A 22,548-nucleotide genomic window follows, 5' to 3' on the forward strand; every position below is an offset into this window, starting at 1 on the left:
GACAATTTTGTGATCTCTTTATATCTTAGGTAGAGAATCTTTGGCTCTTTCTGTAGTTTGCCATGTGATGATTATTGTTTTGATAATTATAACTGAAAAGTGAGAGTTGTTTTGAAATTTAATCTTTTGGAAGTCAGTGATTAAGTGGACCAATTCAAGACCCCACTCTAATGTGTTTCTTTTGCCTTTTTGGACTACTTTTTATTTTCCACCTATAATCTTTCTACCTCTTTATTTAAATAAATATTTGTTTCTTATTCAAATTTTTAAATTAGGTGAGCAAAACTTTTTAGTTCAAAAGGGTGGGAGACAGTATCCCTCCCTTTACTGTTTGCAATTCTAAAAGGCATACCAAAATAATTCTTAAAACCCTGATTTGTTTTTAAAGTAGTCAGCCTGAAGTGACTTTTTTAAAGGTTGTACAAAGTGATCATAAAGAATGGAGAATAGGGAAAAAATAAGAAAAAAAAAAGTGCCAGTTTGTGTATGTCATAGACATCATACTAAAGCCCAATTCAGTAAAAGCTGTTGGTGGATGGAAACTAGAATGACTATGGCTTTTGAGTTCCACCTCTGCTTTTCAAGTCAACAGCCCCTCTTTGGTTTCCTCATTTGTAAATCACAGATAATGGTCAATTTTACCTCTCCCAACTGGTTTGTAGAAAATGAAATGACATAAACTTTCAGAGATGTTACTAGGCTTCAAATTTAATTTGCTTGAAGTAAATGTTGATAAAATACATGCAGCCATCCCTAGATAAAATTACATAATAAAGCTGGTTATCTTGTTCCCAGGAGAACACTGTCATTTTCGCATCACCCACTGGTACCGCAGATACATTCCTAATTTAGGACAAAACAGACTTAGTTTATGACCGACTTTTGATGAAAAAGGCCTAACCACCTACCCAGCTGCATAGTCAAAAGGTTTACATGCAAAACAAGGTAGGTTTTTGAGAAACCTAAATAATAAACTTCCAGTTATTTGAATAGTCTTCTGCAGGCCCAGAGAAAGCATAGTTAAATCATACAGCAACCACCTCTCATAAGGGCTGAAGGTTTAACTATTTAAAAAACTAACCAAAAGGTAGGTTCTTGTTCTACTTGGTACTATTGAAACACTTCTAATGAAGAGCCTTGTGAACTTAGTTTGAAATCGGAAACTCGGGTGAATTTTATATGCCTAGTTTTTATTAGTAAATTTGAAGAATTTCTGTGGCTGCACCACAAAACTCTGCTGAAAACCTACTGATTCTCCATTTCCCTTCAAAAATGTAAATTTCTATCTTCCAGTTTAAACTGCTGTATCTGTCCATTGCCTTCTGGCTCCTCAGCACAATTACAAGGCCCTTGAGTGAGCTGTCCTCTCTCCTCCAACTTTGGCGCTCTGTTCCAGGGCTCTTTTAGAAAAGATTTATTTGCTGCCCGTGAAGGGTTCTCTGATCCATCTGTTGCTTCTCAATGGCCATTTTCAGACTTGGCTCAGGCTCATCCTTTATCCCAGCTGTATTTGTACCCTTTAGGATAACATGGAGTAGGGCCAAATGTCTCAAACCCTAGCTAGTGTGCATAGGAATTATCTAGAGACCTTGCTTGATAAAATGCAAATCTGATGCTCTATTAGTGCCACCAGAGCAAAAAAAAAATGCAGGTCTGGGTTGGAGCCCAAGATTTCCTCATTTTTTACAAGCTCAGGTGGTGGTAGATGAGGGTCCATGTGCATGGTAGCAAAGTACTAGGATAAATTACTTAAACTCTCAGAACCTGTTTGCTTATCTGAAACTGGATTTCTCTGAGAAATAAGTGAGATAATGCTTGTGAAGAGGTTTATGTGGTAAAGTCAAGATTTAACCCCTAGCTACTTGGGACACTGAAGCAGGAGGATCGCTTGAGTCCAGGAGGTTGGGGCTGCAGTGAGCCATGGTCACACCACAGCACTCCAGTCCAGGTGACAGAGCAAACCCTGTCTCTTAAAAAAATTTCTAAAAGAAGTGCAGTTGACTTTTGAACAATAAGGGACTAGGGGGACTGACCCCCTGCACAGTTGAAAATTTTGCGTATGACTTAATGATTCCCCCAAAACTTAACTGCTAACAGCCTACTGTTGACCAGAAGCCTTACCAATAACAAACTCAAAACACATTATGTTATGTATTACTGTATTCTTACCATAAGCTAGAGAAAAAAGTGTTGAGAAAATACTGTTCATTCAGTGGAAGTGGATGATCATAAAGATCTTCATACTTGTTTTCAGTTGAGTAGGCTGAGAAGAGGAGGTGTTACTCATGCTGTCTCAGGGGTGGCAGAGGCAGAAGAAAATCTGTATGTGTCAAGGGTCAACTGTAAATTACAATAGTTCCTAAAACATCTGGAGAACTTTTTAAACAGTAAATTTCTGATTTACTGGGTATCGGGTAGAGCCCAAGAATTTCCATTTGTTACAGATTCCAGTTGATGGTTGGGGGACAGCACCTGGACCACTGTACTGCAAGGACTCCCTTGCCTAACCCTATAGTTCTCCAAACTAAAACCAAACTTAAATTGATGGTCAAGAAGTCAGGCCTGCCCATTTTGGCAACATGAAAAGCACCAGAAAGCCAGCGTCAGGCCTCAGTTGTGCTGTTGCACTGTAGGTAATTGAGGAGCCCCAGAGGGCTAGACAATCAGGTCAATGCTCTCCCTACATAGATAATGCAAGCTTGAATGGGTACAAGAAAAAATTAGTAGCATTGTTTCCTGGCCGTAAGAATTTGCTTTTGAAGGGACAAACTTAATTGCTGATACTGCAAGTGTTCTATGTATAATTAGTATTAAATAAAAGGGAAAAAACTTAGGCATTTTTTTTCTTCTTTTTTTGAAATGGAGTTTCGCTCTTGTTGCCCAGGCTGGAGTGCAATGGCGCGATCTCGGCTCACTGCAACCTCTGCCTCCCGGGTTCAAGCAATTCTCCTGCCTCGGCCTCCTGAGTAGCTGGGATTACAGGCATGCACAACCACGCCTGGCTAATTTTGTGTTTTTAGGAGAGATGGGGTTTCACCATGTTGGTCAGGCTGGTCTCAAACTCCTTACCTGAGGTGATCCACCTGCCTCAGCCTCCCAAAGTGCTGGGATTACAGCCGTGAGCCACTGCGCCTGGCCCCATTGTGTTGTTTATTAAAGTTTGTGAGAACAATACCAGAATTAAAGCACCACACAACATACAGCAAAAAGTGTACATGCAATGCAAAATCATCTGAAAAATATCAGTGAGAAGATAAATTCATGCCCTAGTCCCAACATTGTGCATGGGGCTGAGCATTTCTTAGTCTTACTTTAGCTAAAATTTTAAGGAGTCTGATATGACTAGTTGAAAGAGAAAATTATCAATTTAGCATCATTAAATTTTTATTTATACTAGACTCACCATATCTTCATATCCAAGTTTTTCTATTTAGTATTTTTGAGTACTTCCAGATTTTTTTGTAGGCTGCAGTGAATGCCTTTGAACATTTATTTATCTTCATGTATTTGCATTTCCATAGGATAATTTTTAGATACAGAATTACTATGTCAAAGGGGATATAAGTGTAAAATAATGTCAGTTTGCCTCCAAAAGAATGTCGTAATTTACACTCCTATACTCCAATAGCATTAAGAGAAAGCTCCTATGTCAGGAACCGTCTCATAATCATCTTTTTATTAGCATCTATTCCAGTCCCCTGCTCACTAGCAGTTTTTCGTATAGTAGTAAACAATGTTTTAAAATATTAATTTGAACTTACTGGCTTTAAACCTGGATGATTTTCCTCTCACAATTCTGTGGTCCATGATGTACAAGAAGATTCCATTTATCAGTACAGTATTGAAATCATCTTCCAGATTATACGCTCCCACCTAGCCTTGTGCTGCTAACCCAAAGAGTATTTGTGTAAATAGAGAAATATTTATCTTTTTAAAGATGGGGGTCTCACTGTGTTGCCCTGATCTTGAAATCCTGGCCTCAAGTGATCCTCCTACCTCAACCTCTGGAGTAGCTGGGACTATATGCAAAAGCCACTGCGCCCAGCTTTTGGAACATTTTAGTAGCCTGAAGATAATTGGAATCTTGTCATTGGAAAAAATAGTTTGAGTCTAGCAGTGAGTTGTGCTTGCTACCCCTGTGGAGATAGGTTGGAATAGCAGCTCACTAGAGGTTTCTCACGAAGCCTGGGGACCCGAGGCTGGTATCTGCTACTTTGATTTAAACCAAGCCCCCAAACCTGGCAAGGCACCAAGCAGTAGCTTTGGAAGTGGCTGCCTGGAAATTCCTGGCCTACAGTGTTGAGACAAAGGGCCCCTAGTATTTCAGCTGGTCAAGACATCCATTTGCATACCAACTCCTATGTCATAGCAGCAAATGCAGCCTTCAAAGTTGGAAGGTAAACTGTTATTAGGATAGCTATGAATGTATCCTATATAAAAGTAACCAAAGCTGAACAAACTCTCATAAAAACTACAGCCCTTGATTACTCAAAGTGTCACAATACTTAAGAGCTAATGGCTGTAAATGAGACAGCAAGGAGCATGACATCACATTCGTCAAAAATTTGATCTGTTGTCAGGGCAATAGGAGATTTTAGAGTTAAAAGGAATCCAGGAAATCACCTATATACAATGAAGACTCAGACCCAGAGACCTTTATACATGCACCCAGTGTGCTGGCGTATTCCAAAGACATTAGGCCTGCTCTTTTCTTTTAGACAGCAATGTTTTTGTTTTTGTTTTTGTTTTTTTTTGAGATGGAGTTTCACTCTTGTTACCCAGGCTGGAGTGCAATGGCACGATCTCGGCTCACTGCAACCTCTGCCTCCCAGGTTCAAGCGATTCTCCTGCCTCAGCCTCCCTAGTAGCTGGGATTACAGGCATGTGCCACTATGCCTGGCTAATTTTGTATTTTCAGTAGAGACGGGGTTTCTCCATGTTGGTCAGGCTGATCTCGAACTCCCGACCTTAGGTGATCCGCCCACCTCAGCCTCCCAAAGTGCTGGGATTACAGGCATGAGCCACGGCGCCCGGCCGAAAGCAATTTCTTTTATTGAAAGTTTACACATTTAATTCAGCGTTGGTCTTTTAGGTTTCAGTTTACAGAAAAAGCATCATAGGAAACAATCAGATCCAAAATGTGCAACGTTAAAGTCGAATAATTAAGAACGTAGGGGAAAGAGCCAGGCGAGGTGGCTAACGCCTGTAATCCCAACATTTTGGGAGGCGGAGGCGGGTGGATCACTTGGGGTCAGGAGTTCAAGACCAGCCTGGCCAACATGGCAAAACCCTGTCTCTACTAAAAATACAAAAATTAGCCGGGCATTGTGGCACACGCCTATAATCCCAGCTACTTGGGAGGCTGAGGCAGGAGAATTGCTTGAACCCGGGAAGCGAAGGTTGCAGTGAGCCGAGATCACACCACTGCACTCCAGCCTGGGCACAGTGAGACTCCCATCTCAAAAAAAAAAAAAAAAAATGCGGGAGAGGGGCAGGCCTATTGGCTCATGCCTGCAATCCCAGCACTTTGGGAGGCCAAGGTGGGCAGATCACTGGAGACCAGGAGCTCCAAACCAGCCTGGGCAACATGGCAAAACCCTTTCTGTTAAAAAAAAAAAAAAAAAAGAAAGTTAACCAGCCATTGTAGTGTGCGTCTGTAGTCCCAGCTACTTGGAAGGCTGAGGTGGGAGGATCACCTGAGACCAGGAAGTTCGAGGCTGCAGTGAGCTGAGACTGCGCCACTGCACTCTATCCTGGGTGAAAAGGGAAGACCCTGTCTTTAAAAATAATAATAAATAATAAAAATAAATAAATGGTGCGGGGATTTCATCGTGATTGCTTCTTAGGAATTACATCGTGATTGCTTCTTAGGAATTACATCCTGAGAATTAACGGTGGCATGGGGGATAAGGGACTACTCGTTTCATTATATCTTAGTAGCAGTCGTCTCAGTCTCTAAACTATGTGTATGGATTGCTTAGATTAAAGAACTATTTTTAAAAAATTATTCTTAAGTCGGGAGCGGTGGCTCACGCCTGTAATCCCAGCACTTTGGGAGGCTGAGGCTGGCAGATCACGAGGTCAGGAGATCGAGACCATCCTGGCTAACACGGTGAAACCTCGTCTCTACTAAAAATACAAAAAATTAGCCGGGCGTGGTGGCGGGCGCCTGTAGTCCCAGCTACTCGGGAGGCTGAGGCAGGAGAATGGCGTGAACCTGGGAGGCGGAGCTTGCAGTGAGCCAAGATCATGCCACTGTACTCCAGCCTGGGCGACAGAGCGAGACTCCGTCTCAAAAAATATATAAAATATATATATAATTCTTAAAAAAATTATTCTTAAACATGGGTATGAGGAAGAGGGGCTGTTTAGATCAGAGGTGGGCAAAGGACAGCCTGAGGTTCAAATCCAGCCCATAGCCTGTTTTTGCAAGTAAAGTTTTATTGGAACACAGCCATGCCCATTCCTTTAAGCTCTGTCTGTGTCCGTACTGTTTATGGCTATATGCTCCAACAGCACAATTATGTGTTAAAAAGGACAATGGCCTGCAAAGCCTGAAATATTTACTATCTAGTCCTTTACTGGAAAAATTTTCTGACCACTGTTTTGGATTAAAAGGAACTTAAAGGGTCAAATGCGATGTATAAACCTTGATTTCAAACCTGATTTCAAAACATGAAAGACATAAAAGATGTTCTGGGAACAGTTAGGGAAGTTCTAATATAAACTGGATATTACATGACTTTAGTGAACTATAATTACCTTTAGATGTGATTAGGCTGCTAGGGTCATGTAGGATAATGTCCTTAGTTTTCTTTTTGTTTTTTTTTTTGAGATGGAGTCTCACTCTGTCGCCCAGGCTAGAGTGCAGTGGTGCGACCTTGGCTCACTGCAACCTCAGCCTCCTGAGTAGCTGGGATTACAGGTGTGCGCCACCATGCCCTAATTTTTGTATTTTTACTAGTGATGGGTTTTCACCATGTTGGTCAGGCTGGTCTCAAACTCCTGACCTCGTGATCCGCCCTCCTCGGCCTCCCAAAGTGCTGGGATTACAGGCGTGAGCCACTGCGGCGGCTGTCCTTAGGTTTTGTTTTGTTTTGTTTTGTTTGAGATGGAGTTTCACTTTTGTTACCCAGGCTGGAGTGCAATGACGCCATCTCAGCTCTCCACAACCTTCGTCTCCCGGCTTCAAGCGATTCTCCTGCCTCAGCCTCCTGAGTAGCTGGAACTACAGGTGCCCACCATCATGCCCAGTTAATTTTGTATTTTTTAGTAGAGACGGGGTTTCTCCATGTTGGTCAGGCTGGTCTTGAACTTCCGACCTCAGGTAATCCACCCACCGTGGCCTCCCAAAGTGCTGGGATTACAGGCATGAGCCACCGCGCCCGGTCTGTCCTTAGTTTTTAAAGATGCAAGCTGCTGGGAGGAAGTATCCTGATGTCTATAATTTGTTTTGCAGTGCTTCGGCAGAGATTATGAATATAAATAGATGAAGCAAATACAGCAAAATGTTAATAGTTGTTGAAATATGTTGTGGGGGTATATGAATGATCATCATACTATTTTCTCCCTTTTTATTCCTGAATGCTTGAAATGATCATAAAGTCTTATTTTTTAAAGCAGAAACATGCTATTTATTTTGCTTTAATTCTGAGTTCTTTCTCTCTGAAAACTTCCAAGATCCTTGCAAAGTTCTTGCCAGCAAGTATTTGGGACACCCACTATGGGCCAGGCACTTGTGAGCAGGGAAAGCTCAAAAGAAAAAGATGCAGTAGCTGATGACCTCAGAGAATTCACAAAGTGAACCTCAGACCTCAAACGCTCCTGATGAAGAAGGCATGTTCTCATTTAAATAAATGACTGAGGAGGGGGGAATGTGGGGAAGCAGCAGTTAGAGATTGCCATAGAAGATGAGAATTATGGAAATTAGGAACACAGAAGCTGTGAAGTTGAATTTGAGTTTATGAAACAGAAATCATTCCTCTCCCTTTCTCTACTAACCACCAAATACTACACATTTGAAGAAAATAGAAAACAGCCGAAAGAGCTGAGTGGCGTGGTACTTGCCTATAGTTTCAGCTGCTCAGGAGGGTGAGGTAGGAGGGTCACTTACGCCCAGGGGTTCGGGTCTAGCCTGGGCAACCTAGCAAAACCCTGTCTCTGGAAAACAAAAAACAAAAAAGCAGCAAAGCCCCACCCCTTGGCAGGTAATAGAGTTGGGACTACAGCTGCATCCCCTTGTAACCCCGTCTCCCCACCCCAAAATTGCCCTTCCACATCCTTTAAGCTTTGGCAATTTAGTACTCACCTGGAGAGCTCTTCTGTGCCACACAAGTGTAAGGAGGTAGCCATGTGCCTTCTCAGGGCCTCATAAAACTGCCTCTTAACCTGAGCCAGGAAGCAGGGAGGGCTTGGTTTCTAGCAAGGGTAAATGTGCCTGACTCCAGGAAAAGAATCAGTCAGACAACAAATACATCTATTTGTAGCCTAAAATCTGCTGGGCCAGCAACATGCTAATAACCAGCTGGGCATGATGGAGAGGCCACAAGCCGACTGTCAGGATGGGAAGAGCCCTGCACTACTGGTCAGAGAAAATATACGTGAAAGTGCTGCATAAGCCAAATGGCACTATTTAAAATATGCTTGCTGTTATAAGCTGATTTCACTACTTACTAGTTCATGTCCTTAGACAAGTCAACCTTGCCTTTTCGGTCTCAGTTTCTGCAGCTATAAAATGGTAATAATTTTTTGTTTATCTTGTAGAGCTCTTAGAAACTCAGATTTAAAAAATGCACAGGCCAAGCGCAGTGGCTCATGCCTGTAATCCCAGCACTCTACGAGGCCGAGGCGAGTGGATCACTTGAGGTCAGGAGTTCAAAACCAGCCTGGCCAACATGGTGAAACTCTGTCTCTACTAAAAATACAAAAATCAGCCAGGTGTGGTGGCACAGCCCTGTAATCCCAGCTACTCAAGAGGCTGAGGCAGGAGAATCGCTTGAACCTGGGAGGCAGGGGTTGCAGTGAGCCGAGATGGCGCCACTGCACTCCAGCCTGGGCAACAGAGTGAGACTCTGACTCAAAAACACAAATTCCTTGTAAACTGATCAAATATATTGTATTATTATTCCTCGAAATTTATTCTACATAAAAAAATAAGATGCAAGAATGTACCAGCCTCATTTTCTCTTAATTTTGTGCACACAGCTAGCTAGAATATTCCTCAGCCTTTCTTGCAGTTAGGTATGGCCATGGGATGAGCTCTATCCAACGAAAGGGTTGTGGGTGGCAGCGATTACATCACTAGGGGGCCTGTTCCATAAAACTCCCCCAGTACACTCCTCAATGCCTTATCCCCCATTCTGTCTCAGTGTGGCAGATATCATGACCTTGGAAGTCATTTGTTAAAGATAGAGAAGTTACAAGATAGAAGAAACCTGGGATGCTGAATCACCAGTACTGTTAAGGACAGCTACCGACAGATGAAGAACATCTGTTTTGGACTTCATAGACAAAGAATAAACTTTTGTAACGTTTAGGCAATTATATTAGGTTGAACCACATGAAACTGCCAATATTTGACTGGTTTTGACCTATAAAAATCATTCCATGTGGTACAACCTAATAGACATTTTGCTTTGTTTCCTCTAAAATGAAAATCTTAGGTGGGGTGTGGTGGCTCACGCCTGTAATCCCAGCACTTTGGGAGGCCAAGGCAGGTGGATTACGAGGTCAGGAGATCGAGACCATCCTGGCTAACATGGTGAAACCTCGTCTCTACTAAAAATACAAAAAATTAGCTGGGCATGGTGGCGGGCACCTGTAATCCCAGCTACTCGGGAGGCTGAGGCAGGAGAATGGCATGAACTCAGGAGGCAGAGCTTGCAGTGAGCCGAGATCACGCCACTGCACTCCAGCCTGGGCGACAGAGCAAGACTCCGTCTCAAAAAAAAAAAAAGAAAGAAAAAAAAAGAAAATCTTAGAGGAAAAAAAAAGTTGTTTTGTTTTGTTTGGTTTGTTTGTGTTTTTTTTTGCTGGAGTGCAGTGGCACAATCATGGCTCACTGCAGCCTCAATTTCCCCTGGCTCAAGTGACCCTCCTACCTCAGACTCCCTAGTTGCTGGGACTACATGCACACGCCACCATGCCCAGCTAATTTTTGTATTTTTTGTTGAGATGGAATTTTGCCATGTTGCCCAGGCTGGTCTCAAACTTCTGGGCTCAAGCAATTCACCCACCTTGGCCTCCCAAAGTGCCGGGATTACAGGTGTGTGTGAGCCACTGCGCCTGGCCTTTTTTTTTTTGAGACAGGGTCTCTCCTTCTGTTTCTCAGGCTGGAGTACAGTGGCGCGATCTCGACTCGCTTTAGTCTCAACCTCCCAGTCTCAAATGATCCTCCCACCTCAGCCTCCCCAGTAGCTGGGACCACAGGTGTGCAGCACCACGCCCAGCTAATTTTTATATTTTTTTGTGGAGATGGGATCTCCCTATGTGGCCCAAGCTAGTCTCAAACTCCTGGGTTCAAGCGATCCTCTCAAAGGGTGGGGATTACAGGCATGAGCCATTGCGCCCAGCCTGAGGAAATGTTTTCAACAGTCACATTTTCAAAAGTGAGGAGGGAAATTAGTATTCTTGAGCTCATAGATCAGAGATTGTAAACTGTCTGCCTTTGGTCCACATTTGGGTGTAAAAATATTTTATTTGCTGCACAAAATGTTGGCCCACATAGTTTTAAACAATTGAATTCATTGCTGAATCAAATATATCTTCCTGTGATACAGTCAAAAATATTTTTCTTTTTCATTGTTTTTTTGACCTTTGGAATTAACATAGCAAAACAAAAACCTAAAACCAAACTAAACAAAGCAAAAAGAACAAATCTACTTTAATAAACAAAGAATTAAACTGTTTAGGCCTTAAAAGAGAGAGATCAATTTATAATTATGGGATGAGTAAGTTCTTTCTAAAATATAACATGAAATTCAGAAAATAAAAATAAATTGATAAAATTGACCACATTACTCTTGTATGGCAAAAATACTGTAAAATAGTCAAAATATAACAGATACTTTCTTTAGTATGTAAAGGGATTAAACAAGGTAATAAGAAAAAATGAAAATTACAAATAGCAGGCAGCTCAAGAAGAAAAGGTAGGGCTGAGCACAGTGGCTCATGCCTGTAATCCCAGCACTTTGGGAGGCTGAGGTGGGTGGATCACCTGAGGTCAGGAGTTCAAGACCAGCCTGGCCAACATGGTGAAACCCCGTCTCTACTAAAAATACAAAAAATTAGCTGGATGTGGTGGCAGACGCCTGTAATCCCAGCTACTTGGGAGGCTGAGGCAGGAGAATCGCCTGAACCCGGGAGGCAGAGGTTACAGTGAGCCGAGGTTGAGCCACTGCACTCTAGCCTGGGCAATAAGAGCAAAACTCCGTCTCAAAAAAAAAAAGAAGAAGAAGAAAAGGTATACAGGCCAGGTGTGGTGGAACACACCTGTAGTCCCAGCTACTCAGGAGGCTAAGGCAGGAGGACCCCCTTGAGTCCAGGAGATTGAGGCTACAGTGAGCTATGATAGCGCCACTGTACTCCAGCTTGGACGACAGAGCAAGTCTGTCTCTGAAATAGAAAGGAAAAAAGGTATACAGATCATCAATAAACATAAGAACAACTTTACCAAATTACCAAAATTAAGTAATAATAATACCCAGTGTTGGCCAGAGTGTAGGGAAACAGACATACATTGTAGGTGAGAGTATAAATTTGTGGAAGCTTTTGGAAGGATATTTTGCTAATAGCTAGAGTAAAAATGCTAACCAGGCGATTATACTGCTAGTTTAGTATAGGAATCTAGTCATAAAAGTCACTAAGATATAGGTACAAGAATGTTCTTTATACTATTGTATATATATATATATGTATGTATGTATATATAAATCTGATAAATGGGGCTAGTAAATAATTCTATTTCCAAAAAATTCAGCAATTAAAATGCAAAAATATTTCCTGGATAGACTATTTAGTGGGAAAAGCAAAATGCAGAACAGTGTGAAACCATCTGTGTAAAATTTTTGAAAGGATATGTATGTTTTTCTTTTTTTCTTCCCCTTCTTGTTCCATATACAAGAAGCTATCAGGCTGGTTCACACCTATAACCTCAGGACTTTGGGAGGCCAAGGCAGACAGAGTACTTTAGCCCAGGAGTTCAAGACCAGCCTGGCCAAAATGGTGAAACACTGTCTCTACTAAAAATGCAGAAAATTAGCTGGGCATGATGGCTCACTCCTGTAGTCCCAGCTACTCGGGAGGTTGAGGTGGGAGGATCACTTGAGCTTCAGAAGTCGAGGCTGCAATGAGCCGTGATCGCACCACTGCACTCCAGTCTGGGCAACAGGAGTTGCCCTGTCTTAAAACAAAACAAACAGACAAAAGCTATTAACAAGTTCCCACCTTTGGGGCAAGGGATTAGAGATTTGGGGATCAGAGAATGGGGAGGAAGATGTGAAGATGTTTGCTTTTCATTTCTTTCTGTATTGTTACATTTTTATATATTTTTTTCCTTTTGAGACAGGGTCTGGCACTGTTACCCAGGCTGGAGTGTGTGGCACGAGCTCACCTCTGCTTCCCGGGCTCAAGTGAGCCTCCCACCTCAGACTCCCTGGTAGCTGGGACTACAGGCAGAAACCACCAAGCCTGGCTAATTTTTCTATTTTTTGTAGAGACAGTTTCACCATGTTACCCAGGCTGGTCTCAAACTCCTGAGCTCAAGCAATACACCTGTGTTGACCTCCCAAAGTGCTGGGATTACAGGCATGAACTATCATGCCCGACCTGTTTCATTTTTTAAAAACCATGTACCTGGCCGGGCACGGTGGCTCACACCTGTAATCCCAGCACTTTGGAAGGCTGAGGCGGGCGGATCACTTTTGGTTGGGAGTTCGAGACCAGCCTGACCAACATGGAGAAACCCCATCTCTACTAAAAAATACAAAATTAGCTGGGCGTGGTGGTGCATGCCTGTAGTCCCAGCTACTCAGGACGCTGAAGCAGGAGAATCTCTTGAACCCGGGAGGTGGAGGTTGGGGTGAGCCAAGATTGTGCCATTGCACTCCAGCCTGAGCAACAAGAGCAAAACTCCGTCTCAAAAAAAAAAAAGTGCCTGTGTTATTTTCACATGTATTATTTTCATGCTTTAAAAATGTAAAATAAATGAAGCTATAGGCAAAAACTACCAAATACATTTTATCTAAAGCTAGGATACCAGTTATTTGTTTTGTTGTTTGTTTTTTTCCTCGAAGAAATCATGAGGTATATATATAGTTTTGTGGCTTCACCACTGTAATCCCCAAGGCTTTTCCAGTAGGGAACAAAGTAGAAAGTGTAAAGTATAAATGAACAGATTATTTGAGATTCATCAGTTCCCTGTACATAGCTCTCCCTTAGCCCCAATTACTATTCTTTCTACTTCAGGCTAAGAAATCACCGCATGGTTTTGAAAGTATTAAACTATCATTTTATAGCAGAAGAACTAGAATCACAGTAGAGTTATAGGGACAGAATTATTCCAGCTTCCACCTGTTTACTCTCTATTAGAGAAATGTAATGTTGTGAAATGGTAGATTGGAGACCAAAGTGTTGTATTACAGTAGGCTTAAGTTAATGCCAGTGATCTGGTTTGATCTTAAATGAACTGTAATGATTTGAAAGAAAGCACAAATTTTAAGATTTTGCTATTCCTTCTCTCCTTGTTCTAGACGATTTGTCTCTTTTTTATAGTCTTCCTTAGAGCTTTCCTCAATCTCTTGTCAGTTCTTGGAATTGAGTTTTCTTACTTCTTCCCAAATCACAGATGTTTTCCCACCCTGTGAAATCTAGGGACTGGCTGGCCAGAGTGTTACCGCAATTGTGTTATTCTGGAGGAAATCCTTTCTTTATCTGCCAGGAATTTCTGGCTCCAAACCAGGGGAAAAAATTTGGTGCACTGCCAGGTAATTGCCTTCTTCCTTTTCCCTTTAGCCGTCTGCAGGCGACTAGCTGGAGCCCACGGGTAAAACCACAGCCTCCAGGGTTGGGAGGGAGCAACTTTCAGGGATCCTGAAGGATAAGGCCAATCACTTCTCCTCCATACAGACAGGACCTCATTTAAACCACAACCTAGCCTTTGTTAGTGCCTTCCAAAAGGAGAACTCATCTAAACTCTGTTGATCACGAATCTCAGTGTTAAAAATCACTATCATAAAATTTTTTCTTTCATCTACACCAGAGGTTGGCAAACTTTTTTGCAAAGGACCAGTTAATTAATATTTTAGTCTTCACTGACTATATGATCTCTGTCGTGACTGCTTAACTCTTCCATTGTGGTGCAAAAGCCAAAATACCAAACAAACGCGTGTGGCTGTCTTCCAATAAAACTTTCTTTATGGACACTGAAAGTTGAATTTCATTTTATTTTCCCATGTCATGCAATATTATTCTTTTTTCCCCCATCCATATATAAATAGAAAAACCATTCTTAGTTCATAGGCAGTATAAAAACAGGTAGCAGGCTTTATATAGTTTGTTGGCCCCTGATCTTAACAACTGGTTTTCTTTTTTTTTTTTTTTTTCTGAGACGGAGTCTTGCTTTGTCACCAAGGCTGGAGTGCAGTGGCACGATCTCAGCTCACTGCAACCTCTGCTTCCCAGGTTCAAGTAATTCTCCTGCCTCATCCTCCCTAGTAGCTGGGATTACAGGCGTGCACCACCACACCTGACCAATTTTGTTTGTATTTTTAGTAGAGATTGGGTTTCACCATGTTGGCCAGGCTCATCTCGAACTCCTGAACTCAGGTGATCCGCTGCCTCAGCCTTCCAAAATTCTGGGATTACAGGCATGCACCACCATGCCTGGCCAACAACTGGTTTTCAAACTGTGTTTTGGGAAGCCCTCTGAGGAGACAGCTCGCTGGGCTAGGGAATGCCAGTCTTCCAGTACCCTTTTTTTCTGTTTTATATATTGTCCTTTCAAATTTTGTTTCAAGGGTTCTATAACCAAAAGTTTAAAAGTCACTAACCTAAGCAGAATCCCTTCTTTTGCAACTTTAGCCCATTTACTTTTGGTCTTCCCTCAGTGCAGGTAGAGAAGAGCTGGTTATTTAACTCTTTTTTTTTTTTTTTTTTTTTGAGATGGAGGCATACTCTGTCGCCCAGGCCGGAGTGCAATGGCATGATCTCGGCTCACTGCAACCTCCACCCGCTGGGTTCAAGCAGTTCTTCTGCCTCAGCCTTCTGAGTAGCTGGGATTACAGGCACCCGCCACCACACCCGGCTAACTTTTTGTATTTTTAGTAGAGATGGGGTTTCACCATGTTGGTCAGGCTGGTCTGGAACTCCTGACCTCACAATCTACCCGCCATGGCCTCCCAAAGTGCTGGGGTTACAGGCGTGAGCCACTGCACCCCGGCTATTTAACTCATTTTATAGGCCTCTCAAGGAAGTAATTAAATAATTGAAAGCTTAATCTTAAATAAGCCTTATCCTTTCGTATACTTCATAAGTCTGCCATATTTTTCCAATCCTTTAATTTGTATTTATGACCCTTCTCTCCAAAATCCTACAAATTTGCACACAGTGAAATAATACTCCGGATGGAAGAGTACCTTTCTGTGTATCCCAGCATCTTTCCCTTATTATTCAGGGTCACCAGCAGCACCATGGCCAGAGGGAGTGTCCAGATAGTGCTAGAAGAGAGGCAAAAGGCAAGGCCAAGTCTGATGTGAGGATTAAGAGAGTCGCTAAGTGGGGAAAAAAAAAAAAACGTCCTGAGGTCAGAATCCAGGAAAATCTTGAATGGACAGGAAGCAAAGTGGGATATGGGTGAGGGCAAGCAATTTAGGAGAGATGCTATGAGCAACACAGGGGTGCCTCAGGATAATCACCCATGCCTCCTTTATAGACAAATAATATATTTTTGTTTATTGGTTTTTTGGTGGGTTTTTTTTGTTTGTTTTTTGTTTTTTTTTGAAATGGAGTCTCGCTCTGTCTGCCAGGCTGGAGTGCAATGGTGCAATCTTGGCTCACTGCAACCTCTGCCTCCTGGGTTCAAGCGATTCTCCTGCCTCAGCCTCCAAAGTAGCTGGGATTACAGGTGCACACCACCACACCTGGATAATTTTTTTGTATTTTTAGTAGAGACGAGGTTTCACTGTGTTGGCCAGGCTGGTCTCAAACTCCTGACCTCAAGTGATCCACCCACCTCAGCCTCCCAAAGTGCTGGGATTTACAGGCATGAACCACCGCACACAGCCTTTTTGGTGTTTTTTTGTCTGTTTGTTTTTGAGACAGGGTCTCACTCTGTCACCCAGGCTAGAGTGCAGTGGTGTGATCATGGCTCACTGCAGCCATGACTTCCCAGGCTCAATTGATCCTCCCACCTCAGCCTCCCAAGTAGCTGGGACTACAGGCACTTGCCACCATGCCCAGCTAATTTTTTGTATTTTCAGTAGAGACGAGTTTTCACTATGTTGCCAAGACTGGTCTTGAACTCCTGGGCTCAGGCAGTCCGCCCACCTTGACCTCCCAAAGTGCTGCAATTTACAGGTGTGAGCCACTGCACCCGGCCTGTATGTTTGTTTTTTGTTTTTGAGACAGGGGTCTTGCTGTATTGCCCAGGATACAGTGCTGAGTTACTCAGACTGGTCTCGAACTCCTGGCCTCAAGCAATCCTCCTGCCTCAGCCTCCTAAAGCCCTGAGAATACAGGCTTGAACCACCATGCCCAGCCAATACATTTTAGTCATAGCAAATATTTATATTAAAAGATAATTAAAATCACCCATAATTCTACCACTCAGAGATAATTACTATTAAAAATTTGGTGTATGTCCTTCCAGAATTTTCTTCTATGACCATATATAAAACATTATTATTATTATTATTATTATTATTATTATTATTATTATTATTATTATTATTTGAGATGGAGTATCACCCTGTCGCCCAGGCTGGAGTGCAATGGCGCAATCTTGGCTCACTGCAGCCTCTGCCTCCCAGGTTCTAGCGATTCTCCTGCCTCAGCCTCCTGAGTAGCTGGGATTACAGGTGCACACCACCATGCCTGGCTAGTTTTTGTATTTTTAGTAGAGATGGGGTTTCACCATGTTGGCCAGGCTGGTCTGGAACTCCTGACCTCAGGTGGTCCACTCACCTCGGCCACCCAAAGTGCTGAGATTACAGGAACGAGCCACCATGCCCGGTCCATATATAAAACATTTGTATACACAGTATTGTCACTTTTATGTCCCACGGACAACTCAAACACACTATGTGCCAAAAAAATAAAATTTTCCGTCTTCCCTAAACCTGTTTCACTGTCACCTACTGTTCACTTCAAAACCTAGGAGTTCATGACCCTCTGTCTCCCTCACCACCATCCCACGGATCACTAAGTCTCCTTGTTAGCTCTTCTCTTCCAGAAATCATACTAGTCACACTCTGACCCATTCTTTCTAAGACTGAAGTCTAGCACTTAAGAAAATATAAAACAGGCTGTGTGCAGTGGCTCATGCCTATAACCCCAGTACTTTGGGAGGCCAAGGTGGGAGGATTGCTTGAGCCCAGGAGTTAAAGACCAGCCTGAACAACATAGTGAGACCCCATGTCTACAAAAAATTAAAAAATCAGCAGGGCATGGTGGTGTGTGCCTGTGTACCCAGCTACTTCGGAGACTGAGGCAGGAGGATCAGTTGAGCCCAGGAGGCTGAGGCTGCAGAGAGCCATGATTGTGCCACTGCACTCCAACCTGGGCAACAGATCGATACCCTGTCTCAAAAAAAGAAAAAATATGAAACATGTTTATTTCAAGAGTCTACATTTGCATAACTAAAAACTGGGCTCCCCAATGCAGGGTGCCCAGTGTCTCTGTCAGCTAATATTGTACTACCCGCTGGACACCTGAAAGTTGTCATTTTCAGGGAAACCAATAAAAACAGGTGTGAAGTCATGTTTAGTCATTTTGAAGTCAGGTGTCTATGTTTGAGGGTTGAATTCTAGAGGCCTCCAGAAATAAAAGGGGTACAGCCTAGCTCCGAAATGAGTTGGTTACAGAGGTGTCCAGATATAATGATGGTGAATATACCTTGTAATTTAGAATCTAAGGAAGGGTTATTTGGAAGTGGGTAATTAGTCTCAACTAACATTGGTGCCACTTCTCCTTACAGTCTGAGGAAACTGTGGAGGGAGAAGGTGCTCCCAGATGACAGAGCCACTCTCATTCTGCTATACTGATGATAACAGGTAACATTTATTGAGTACTTGGTGTGTACTAGGCATAGTGCTAAGAGTGCTCGTTCTTTCTTTTATTCCTCACAACACCACTGTAAATTGAGGCATGTGCAAAACAAGAGGACAGAGAGGCTTAGCAAGGTTAGCTACTTTGTCTAAGGTCACTTAGCTAGAAAGTGCAAGAGCTGGGATTGGAACCACGACCATGCAACTTCAGAGTCCTAGTACTTAAGGCATTCAGTCTTTGCTGCCTATAACCACGACTCCACAGTAAGAACCAGGGTCAGAGAGAAAAGGAGGTGACCCAGGAGGATGATCCATCATAGTCTTGTGGAAGGTAGGGGCCTGGGAATGAACCCAGTCCAAAGGGAGTAAAACTCCTAGTCCAAACTGTGCCCCCAAAGCTTCTGCATTTGAACGAAGGCCTGAAACAGACATTTACAATAGAGTGAGCCAGTTTGGACTGTTGAAGAGGCTCTGAGTAGGGAGTTAGCTACCCTGAAGAATAAGGCCAGAAATTTGCCAGTTTCCCAATTTCCGAGTGTCCAATACTGTCGGGGCAAGTTCTTCACCTGCTGCTCATCTCCTAATTTAGCCATCCATATGCACAGTTAACAGAAACCTTTGGATTCCAAAAAAACACTGTTATTATATAGTATTCACTTCAACAACCTATTACCCTTGCAAGCTTCCAAATGACTGAAAATTTTACACTCACTCAGCAATTATTTAAAATTATTTACTGATTCTGTCTCCCAGACACTGTGTCAGATGCTGGAGATGTAGTGGTGAACAGGAAAACCAGAGTCCTTGTTTTCATGGCGTAAAGGGGAGAAAGCAGATGGTATTTGAGTAATTTACAAAGTGTAAGGAATGACATGTTGGGAAAGTATATGAGTCTACACAAATACCTAGCAAAGAGACTTTCCAACTCAGAGGTCAGGGAATGTCTCCTTGAGGAAATTACTTTTAAGTTTAGACTTGAAGAAAATAGGCCTTTGCCTATTGACGGGGTAGGTAATATTAATAGAAGGTGAAGAATCAGCTGGGCACGGTGGCTCATGCCTGTAATCTCAGCACTTTGGGAGGCCAGGGCGCACAGATTGTGTGAGCTCAGGAGTTTGAGACTAGCCTGGGCAACACAGTGAAACACCCATCACTACAAAAAAATTTTTTAAAAATTAGCTGGGCAGGGTGGTATGTACCTGTGGTCTCAGCTACTCGAGAGACTGAAGTGGGAGGATCCCTTAAACCCAGGAGGTCAAGGCTACAGTGAGCCAAGATCACACCACTGCACTCCAGCCTGGGTGACAGAGTGAGACCCTGTCTCAATAAAAAAGAAAAGAAAAGAAAAAGGGTGAGCAATCTAGATGGAAGGAAAGTAGTCTTGGAGGTGGAGAAACTGCCAGAGAAGAAGAAGAGTGAGATCACCAGTTGGAAAGGAAAATGGGATTCAGGCAGAGTTTTTTTGTGTTGTGTGTGTGTGTGTGTGTGTGTGTGTGTGTGTGTGTTTTAATTTGAGTTGGGGTCTTGCTCTGTTGCCCAGACAGGAGAACAGTGGTGCTATCATAGCTCACTACAGCCTCGAACTCCTGGCTTAAGTGATCCTCCTGCCTCAGCTTCCCATGTAACTGCGACCATAGGTGCCCCCTAGATAATGTTTTTTGTCGATGGTTTTGCTTTACAAAATGGGAGAGGTTTGAGCATGCTCATGTCTAATGGGAAGGAGCCAGTTAAGAAGGTGAGACTGACACAGTCTTACCCATAGTAGAACCTTATGCATGGTGTGAGGTCCCTAAGAAGATATGAGAGAAGAGAATCTAGGGCTCAGGAGCAGCATTTAGATTTAGGAAGGAGAAGAAAACTCTCTTATAACATGCCTGAAGAAAATGAGGGTTACGGATTTGGATGGGTTTGCCATTTGTTAGTGGGAGTTGGATTCTGTCTTTTCCGGAAAGGAGTGAGATCATCTGCTGAAAGTAAGAGGGTACATGAGGCATTGGGGACCTGAGGAGAAGGCTTGAAAATAGCCACTGTGAAGGGTTGTGTCTGTGAATTTGGAGGGGCGCTGGTCTGCCCAGGTGTGGGTTTTTATCCAGCAGCATTCAACAGCCCAAGCGTGGGTAGCTAGAAAGCAAAAAGCTGGAGTCATCCAGGCCCAGGGCTTGCCAGGCAGATGCAATGAAAAGACAGAGGGGCAAAGGAGTATAGGATATTGGCAAGAGAGTGGGTGAAGTCAGGGGCCATGGAATATAAGTTGGTGCAGAGGGGGAAAAGACAAGAGAGGGCCAAAAAGAGAGAGCACGAATGGGTCCATGGACTAGAGAGCAGAGAACTAGGGAAGTGGGAATAACTGAGCAGCTCTGCTGTAAATATACACTGAATCTGATCACCTTCTACCATCTCCACTGCTACCAACCTGTTATAAACTACGATCATCTCTCTCCTGGACCACTGAAATGGCTTCTTCCTTCTTGATCCCTCTGCTTCAATTCTTATTACCCTGCAATCCGTTCCTCACTTACATTAAAATTACCTTTTTTTTTTTCTTTTGAGATGGAGTCTTGCTCTGTCACCCAGGCTGAAGTGCAGTGGTGCGATCTCAGCTCACTGAAACCTCCACCTCCCAGAGTCAAGAGATTCTTCTGCCTCAGCCTCCCAAGTAGCTGGGGCTACAGGTGCTCACTACCATGCCTGGCTAATTTTTGTATTTTTAGTAGAGACGGGGTTTCACCACATTGGGCAGGCTGGTCTCAAACTTCTGACCTCAGGTGATCCACCCGCCTCAGCCTCCCAAAGTGCTGGGATTACAGGCATAAGCCATTGTGCCCAGCCTCAAATTATCTTTTTATGTATGAGTCTCTGGTACCAGCCAACATCATGTGCCTCCTCATGATGCACTGAAGAGAACACAACATCAGTTTTGTGGTTTTCCTGACAAAAATGCATATCTGGTTAGAATCACGAGGAAACATCAGACAAACCAAAATGGAAGACCATTCTACAGAATGACTGCATTCTAAAAATGTCAAGGTTGGCTGGGGGTGGTGGCTCACCTCTGGAATTCCAGCACTTTAGGAGGCTCAGGTGGGAAGATCACTTGAGGCCAGGAGTTTGAGAGCAGCCTGGGCAAGACAGTGAGACCTAATATCTACAAAAAAAAATTTAAAAATCAGCAAGGCATGGTAGCACATGCCTGTGATTCCAGCTACTCAGGAGTCTGAGCCCAAGAGGTTGAGGTTGCAGTGAGCCATGATCATCCCACTGCACTCTAGCCTGGGCAACAGAGAGAGACCCTGTCTCAAAAAGGGGTTGAGGAAAAGGTCAAAGTTGGGAAGACAAAGAAAGACAGAGGAACTGGTCTAGATTAAAAGTGACTAAAGAGATAATAATGAAATACAGTGGCCTGGTGCAGTGACTCATGACTGTAATCCCAGCACTTTGGTAGTCCGAGGAGGGAGGATCATGAGGTCAGGAGATCGAGGCCATCCTGACCAACATGGTGAAACCCCAACTCTACTAAAAATACAAAAATTAGCCTGGCGTGATGGCACGCACCTGTGGTCCCAGCTACTCAGGAGGCTGAGGCAGGAGAATCACTTGAACCCGGGAGGCAGAGGTTGCAATGAGCCGAGATCGTGCCACTGTACTCCAGCCTGGTGACAGAGTGAGACTCTGTCTCAAAAAAAAAAGAAAAAGAAAAAAAAAGAAATAATATAGTGTTTGTCCTGAAGTGGATCTGGGACTAGGACACAAGTAGTTATAAGGAACATTACTAGGATAATTAAAATTTGAACATGACCTACAGATAAGATAATAGTACTGCTGTTCCCATGTTAAATTTTCCGATTTTGACAATCTAAGAGAATATCCTTGTTTTTAGGACATACGTGAAGTGTATTTAGGAGTGAGAGGACACAATCATCTGCAATTTACTCTCAAATGATTGAGAAAAAACTGTGTATATAAAATGTGTGTGGTGTGTGTGCATGTGAGAAAGAGATAATTATGAAAGGAATGAGGGTAAAATGTAAACAGTTGGTGAATTTGAGTAAAGGGTATATGGGAAAAGTTACCACTCCAAAAAAAAGTAATCAATCATGTTAGTTCCCTGGTTGCAACTCATCAATGTCTTCCCATGACACTAAAATGAAAACTCCTCATTAGGGCCTACAACATCCCTGAAATATGCAGCCTGCTTATTTTTATTTATCTCTTTGGCCTCATCTCCTTTCATTCTGTTCTTTGATCACAGCCTTCCAGCCACACAGATTTTCTTTCTGATTCTGGAGCA

The 22,548-nt window shown here is 43.0% G+C and overlaps 1 annotated feature.

The window, feature by feature from the left end:
* Positions 8,492 to 8,692: a silencer, noted in NCBI's record as "peak4014 fragment used in MPRA reporter construct". NCBI's record gives its function as "represses an SCP1 promoter by STARR-seq MPRAs in K562 erythroleukemia cells {active_cell/tissue: K562}" and the evidence as "EXISTENCE:reporter gene assay evidence [ECO:0000049][PMID:32103011]".

Source organism: Homo sapiens, chromosome 2, assembly GCF_000001405.40.
Source record: "Homo sapiens chromosome 2, GRCh38.p14 Primary Assembly".
In the NCBI taxonomy this organism is placed as follows: domain Eukaryota; kingdom Metazoa; phylum Chordata; class Mammalia; order Primates; family Hominidae; genus Homo; species Homo sapiens.